The 6000-nt window shown below is 50.6% G+C and overlaps 3 annotated features.

Annotated features, from left to right (window-relative positions):
* Positions 1420 to 1716: a transcriptional cis regulatory region, noted in NCBI's record as "candidate enhancer chr16.1224 targeted for multiplex CRISPR interference". NCBI's record gives its function as "positively regulates ATF7IP2 gene expression with high confidence in K562 cells {active_cell/tissue: K562}" and the evidence as "EXISTENCE:mutant phenotype evidence [ECO:0000015][PMID:30612741]".
* Positions 3191 to 3430: an enhancer, noted in NCBI's record as "active region_10425". NCBI's record gives its function as "activates an Ori minimal core promoter by ATAC-STARR-seq in GM12878 lymphoblastoid cells {active_cell/tissue: GM12878}" and the evidence as "EXISTENCE:reporter gene assay evidence [ECO:0000049][PMID:35858748]".
* Positions 4998 to 5292: a silencer, noted in NCBI's record as "tiled region #4189; K562 Repressive DNase matched - State 5:Enh". NCBI's record gives its function as "represses a minimal TATA promoter and a strong SV40 promoter by Sharpr-MPRA in K562 cells {active_cell/tissue: K562}" and the evidence as "EXISTENCE:reporter gene assay evidence [ECO:0000049][PMID:27701403]".

Below are 6000 nucleotides of genomic sequence, written 5' to 3' on the forward strand. Positions count from 1 at the left end.
GAGCCGCCTTGAGCTGCAGAGCCAGGACTCTGCACAGCACCTGCCTTGGCCCTTTTAAGGTCTCTGCTTCTGGATCTGCCAGGTAAGGCCTGATCCTGGGCCAGATGCCAGAGGGCCCTTCCTGTTGGCATCTCTGCAAAGCCTCATGTGTTGTCTGATGGCAACATCGTACTGGGAGAGCCCTGGAGGCCTGGAGCAGGACCAAGGGACAGTCAAGTGGACAAAGGCCTTTCTGAGGAGGAAGCAGGTGAGAGGAAGGAGTCCTGAGTGGCAGGACCAGCCCTGGGAAGGACAGTGTCCTTCACAGCTCAGAGGTCAGAGTTGAATCAGGCCCACAAACCCTCCCTGAGCCTCTGCTCTGGGCTCCTCATGGATAGGCCTAAGAGCCAGGGGTGATTCAGACTTAGGTATTAAAGTGGGGGACAGACGCAGGAGGGTCCTTCAAAGGGGGCTATTTTAACTTTTATTTATTCATTTACTTACTTGCTTACTTACTTATTTGAGGCAGAGTCTCGCTCTGTTGCCCAGGCTGGAGTGCAACGGTGCAATCTCAGCTCACTGCAACCTCCGCCTCCCAGGTTCAAGCGATTCTCCTGCCTCAGCCTCCCGAGTAGCTGGGATTACAGGCACCTGCCACCATGCCCGGCTAATTTTTGTATTTTTAGTAGAGAAGGGGTTTCGCCATGTTAGCCAGGCTGGTCTCGAACTCCTGACCTCAAGTGATCCATCTGCCTAGGCCTCCCAAAGGGCTGGGATTACAGGCGTGAGCCACCGCACCCAGCTGCTATTTTTATTTCATTTCAGCCCTATTCTGATCCTTCTTGGGGATAATGTCTCCCCATCTCATAGATGGGGAAATACAAACTCAAATTGGTGAAGGAATTGTCCCAAGGTCATTTGGCTAGAAAGAAGCACATCGAGTTGGATGACAATGATAATAATAATGTGACTCCCGAGTAGCTGGGACTACAGGCACCCACCATCACGTCCGGCTAATTTTTTGTATTTTTAGTACAGGTGGGGTTTCACCGTGTTAGCCAAGATGGTCTCAATCTCCTGACCTCGTGATCCCCCTGCCTCGGCCTCCCAAAGTGCTGGGATTACAGGCGTGAGCCATTGTGCCCAGCCTCTAGTTCTTTCTTATTCTCTTATTCTGAGTGTTCCTTTTCACAGCATCTTATTCTTCTTATATGAATGCAATATATTTTATTTCTCTGAAGCTTCCTTATTTTCTCGAAGACTTTTGTTTCTCCCCACCTGGCTCTGTTTTTTTGGAGTTTTTTTCCTCTCTTGGTTTCGGTCTTTGACTTTCATTTTACAAGCTGCCCTCAAGGTTTCAGTGACCCTCCATTGCACGTTCGTATTGAAGAGCAGGGAACTGAAAAAGATACTGGGAAATGAAGACCCTTGGAAGCTCCATGTCTGTGGCAGGACGTGTGGACAGGGGAGGCTTGTTGGGATCTGGCTGTCCTTGTAAGATCCCAAAGCCAGCATCGGAAGCGTCGTCTGAGAGGATCCCTGTGACCTCCTGACTGCAGAGAAAGCAGGCTGCCAGCTTCCAGGAAGCAAGCAGGGGGATGGGGCCAGGGGCGTCTCCCTGACAGGCACGTGGCCTTTCCCTTCCCTCCTTGTTTCAGGACTGACCCACCCCAATTCACTTTGCTGTCCTCAAACTCTAAGCCTCCAGCACAGGTTTTATTTAGATAGTATATTTATGATGGGTGTTGATAAAGATTGGAGGGTAAATGGCCTCCCAACTTACCCCTTGGCACCCCTCGGATGCCAGGTGGTAGGGTGTGAAAATGAACCAGACCTGCTGGTTGAAGACCTGCTAATTATTGAGCAACTACTATGTGTCAGGCGCTGAATCTAAATCAGGGTTTTGCCATGCAGGGAACATCTGGGCATGTCTGGAGACATTTTCAGTGTTACAAATCGCTGTAGGGGTGGGTACTACTGGTATCTAGTGGGTAGAGGCCAGGGATGCCACTAAGCGTCCTAAAGTGCACAGTGCAGCCTCCCATACCAGGCTCTGAATGTGAATAGAGCCAAGGTCAAGAAACCCTGCTCTAGAAAGATGAAAGACACATTCCCTGACTTCACAGGACAGGAGTAAAGAATTTCTGGTTCCAGCCGGGCACACTGGCTCACGCCCATAATCCCAGCACTTTGGGAGGCTGAGGTGGGCAGATCGTTTGAGGTCAGGAGTTCAAGACCAGCCTGGTCAACATAAATGAAACCCCATCTCTACTAAAAATGCCCCCCAAAAAAACAAAAATATTAGCTGGGTGTGGTGGCACATGCCTGTAATCCCAACTGCTTGGGAGGCTGAGGCAGGAGAATCACTTGAACCTGGGAGATGGAGGTGGAAGTGAGCCAAGATCATTCCATGAACTCCAGCCTGGGTGACAGAGCGAGACTCTGCTGAGAGAGAGAGAGAAGGAAGAAGAAAAAGTAAAAGAAGAAGAAGAAGGAGGAGGAGGAGGAGGAGGAGGAGGAGGAGGAGGAGGGGCAGGGGGGAGGAGGAGGGGGAGGGGGGAGGAGGAGGGGGGAGGAGGAGGGCGAGGGGGAGGGGGAGGGAGGGAGAGAAGTAGAAGAAGAAGAGTAAAGAAGGAAGGAAGAAAAGAGAAAGAAAAGAAAGAAAGAAAAAAGAAAGAAAGAAAAAGAAAGAAAGAAAAAAAGAAAGACCCTGCTCTAGCAAGATGAAAGACACATTCCCTGGCTTCATAGGAAAGGGGCAAATAATTTCTAGTTCTGGCCAGGCACAGTGGCTCGCACCTGTAATCCCAGCACTTTGGGAGGATGAGGTGGGAGGATGCCTTGAACCCAGGAGTCTGAGACCAGCCTGGGCAACATATCAAGACCTTGTCTCTATCAAAAAAAGAAGAGAAAAGAAAAGAGAAAAAAAATAATTTCTAGATCCTCAGCATCTGCTATGTTCCAGGGGCAGGAGGAAGCTCTGTCTTCACTTTGGCAGCAAGCCTGTAGCCTAGGCATTCTCAGCCCGTTTTGCTGGAGGGGGCATTTGAGGCCTGGCCAGCTTAGCCAGCCTACAAGGAGTGTTACTGGGGTGAAAACAGCCAGCGGGGACCAGTCTGCTTGTGGCCCGCCAGGTGCCTGGGATGGGGAAGCAGCAAATGCCCACCTTCCTGCCCAACCCCCTCCTCCCTCTTCATGGGGGGAACTGGGGGTGGCAGCGGCTGCCGGGTGCGAGCGGGCTCAGGCCTGTGGCCCTGCCTGACGTTGGTCCCCATCAAGCCATGTGACGAGACCAGGCCACAAGAAAGAGGTTTCAACAAGCGTTATCGTTTCCTGGAACTCCAACTCGGCGACTTCCCCGAAGACCGGCTGTGCCTGGCGGGCGGGCTGCGCACAGCGGGGACAAGGCTGCCCCCTTCCTCCTCCGCTGCCTCCGCGGCCGCGTCTATCTCAGTCTGACTACCTGGAAGCAGCACTCCACCCTCCAGCCCAGCGGCCCTCGGCTCAGCTGCCAGGTCACCGGCAACCCCGGGAGCGGTGGGGCAGGGGCTGCTCCGCCAGCCTCTGTGATGTTCAGGCCGGGCTGCACCAGCCCGGGACCCCTAGGTGCCCAGAAACCCACTTCCTCTTGTTTCTGCCCCTGAACAAGCTTCTCAGGGCAGCTGACAATCAGACTTAGCACAGATGTGCCTCAGTGTTGCTCTCAGAGAAATGAACACAAGGCTAGACGCAGTAGCTCACACCTGTAATCCTAGCACTTTGGGAGGCCGAGGTGGGCGGATCATTTGAGGTCAGGAGTTCGAGACCAGCCTGGCCAACATGGTGAAATCCCGTCTCTACTAAAAACACAAAAATTAGCCAGGCGTGGTGGTGGGCGCCTGTAATCACAGCTACTCAGGAGGTTGAGGCACAAGAATCACTTGAACCCAGGAGGCAGAGGTTGCAGTGAGCTGAGAGTGAACCACTGCACTCCAGCCTGGACAATAGAGCGAGATTCCATCTAAAAAAAAAAAAAAAGAAAAGAAAAGAAAAGAAAGAAAAGAAATGGAAACAAATCTCCCACCCCATTCATCCTGCCCACCAGACAGGGGCCTCTCTGGATCCAGGCGGATAGTTTCTGTTTCTGGCTGACTAGGCCCTAGAAATCCAGAGAAGGGGCTAAAACCTCACTTTGGTGGAGGTGGGGTGGCTGAGAACTCAAATTCTTGGGTACCACCATCTCGGTGATGACTCTGGGATAAGTCACTTCCTCAGTTCCCCAGTTCACAGAAACCCCAGTTGTAAATATAGACCTGGCCACAATGGGGCGGGGTGGTGGGCCCAGGGGCAGAGTGAGATGGGGAGTGAGGAGGAAGAACCAAGGACAAAATCTGATTCCTCTGAAAAGGCAGAAGCCTCCAGGCCAATGGGGTTTTCTTAACCTGCTTTTGGGAAGGAAAGACTGTCAGGCTTTTGGTCTCTCTGGGCCTCAGTTTCCTCCTCTATAAAATGAAAATGATATTAGCTTGAGCCATATGAAATTGCCAACACTCTTGTGGTTTCGACCTCCAAAACCAGCAATTTCATATGATGCTCTAACATGACTTATCTGGAAAACTGCAGACTGAAATGAGATCCTGCAAAGTGCTTAGCAGAGTGATTGCATATAATAGGTGCTCAATAAACAATAGGCCTTATGTTATAATACTTTTTCAAATAAAAATATTATTTTTTTGTAGAGACGGGGGTCTCACTAGGTTGCCTAGGCTGGTCTTGAACTCCCGGGCTCAAGCGATCCTCCTGCCTTGGCCTCCCAAAGTGGGATTACAGGTGTGAGCCACTGCACCCGGCCATAATATATATCTTATATCTCTTATATCTCCTATCTAATGATATGTCACCAGTAATAATAATGGCAGTGCTCCTAATTCTTTCACCCATCCTCTCCTTGTCAAACCCACAGCCACTTCCACTTACTGAGCACACTGTGCACCCAGGACAGATATAAATGTTCTCCATTCGGTTTTCACCACTTACTGTCACCCACAAGCGTGAGCCTGTGCAGGCATGGTGTCAGAGCTCAGGATTCATGTGTACACAGCATATAAGCCAGCACGATCTCATTCTGTGTCCCTTCTCATTCTGGCCATCTCACTCCAGAGTGAGAACCAGTCTCTCCTCATTTGGCGCATGCTTGCTGAGGATGGCCCTATTGCTACATTAACTTGTGCAAGCCACACCACGCTCATGGTTAATCTTGAGTTTATATCCTACTATAGTGTTAAGATCAAAAGTCATCCTTGGCCAGGCGTGGTGACTCAAGCCTGTAATCCTAGCACTTTGGGAGGCCGAGGCGGGCAGGTCACTTGTGGTCAGGAGTTCAAGACCAGCCTGACCAACATGGCGAAACCCTGTCTCTACTAAAAACACAAAAAATTAGCTGGGCGTGGTGTAATCCCAGTTACACATTGAGGCACGAGAATCACTTGAACCTGGGAGGCAGAGGTTGCAGTGAGCCGAGATGGCGCCACTGTACTCCAGCCTGGGCAACAGAGCAAGACTCTGTCTCAAAAAAAAAAGTCACCTTCTATTGGAGCAATTGATATTTTTAAGCCAAATGTAGGATATTTATGTCTTCAATTTCATCTTTGTACCCACTCAGTGTCCCAGTCCAGGGTTTGTTTGGGATCTGGCTCTGTTGCCCAGTGAATTCATTGTCCTTGCAATAAGCAGGTTGTCTGGCTTCTAATGAAGGAATCCAGGAAGAAGGAAGGAAGAGCATTAGCTGAGGCCGGAGCCCTGTGGCATACCACATAAGACCGCTCAGCCAGCTGTCACATGTGTGTGCAAGCGTGTGGTGTGTGTGTGTGTAGTTAATAATTTACAGAGTTGGCCGCCAGGTGCAGTGGCTCATGCCTATAATCCCAACACTTTGGGAGGCTGATGCAGGATTACTTGGGGCCAGGAGTTTGAGACCAGCCTAGACAACATAGACTCCGTCTCTACAAAAACAAAACAAAACAAAACAAAATTAGCCAGGTG

Source organism: Homo sapiens, chromosome 16, assembly GCF_000001405.40.
Source record: "Homo sapiens chromosome 16, GRCh38.p14 Primary Assembly".
NCBI classification, from domain to species: Eukaryota; Metazoa; Chordata; class Mammalia; order Primates; family Hominidae; genus Homo; species Homo sapiens.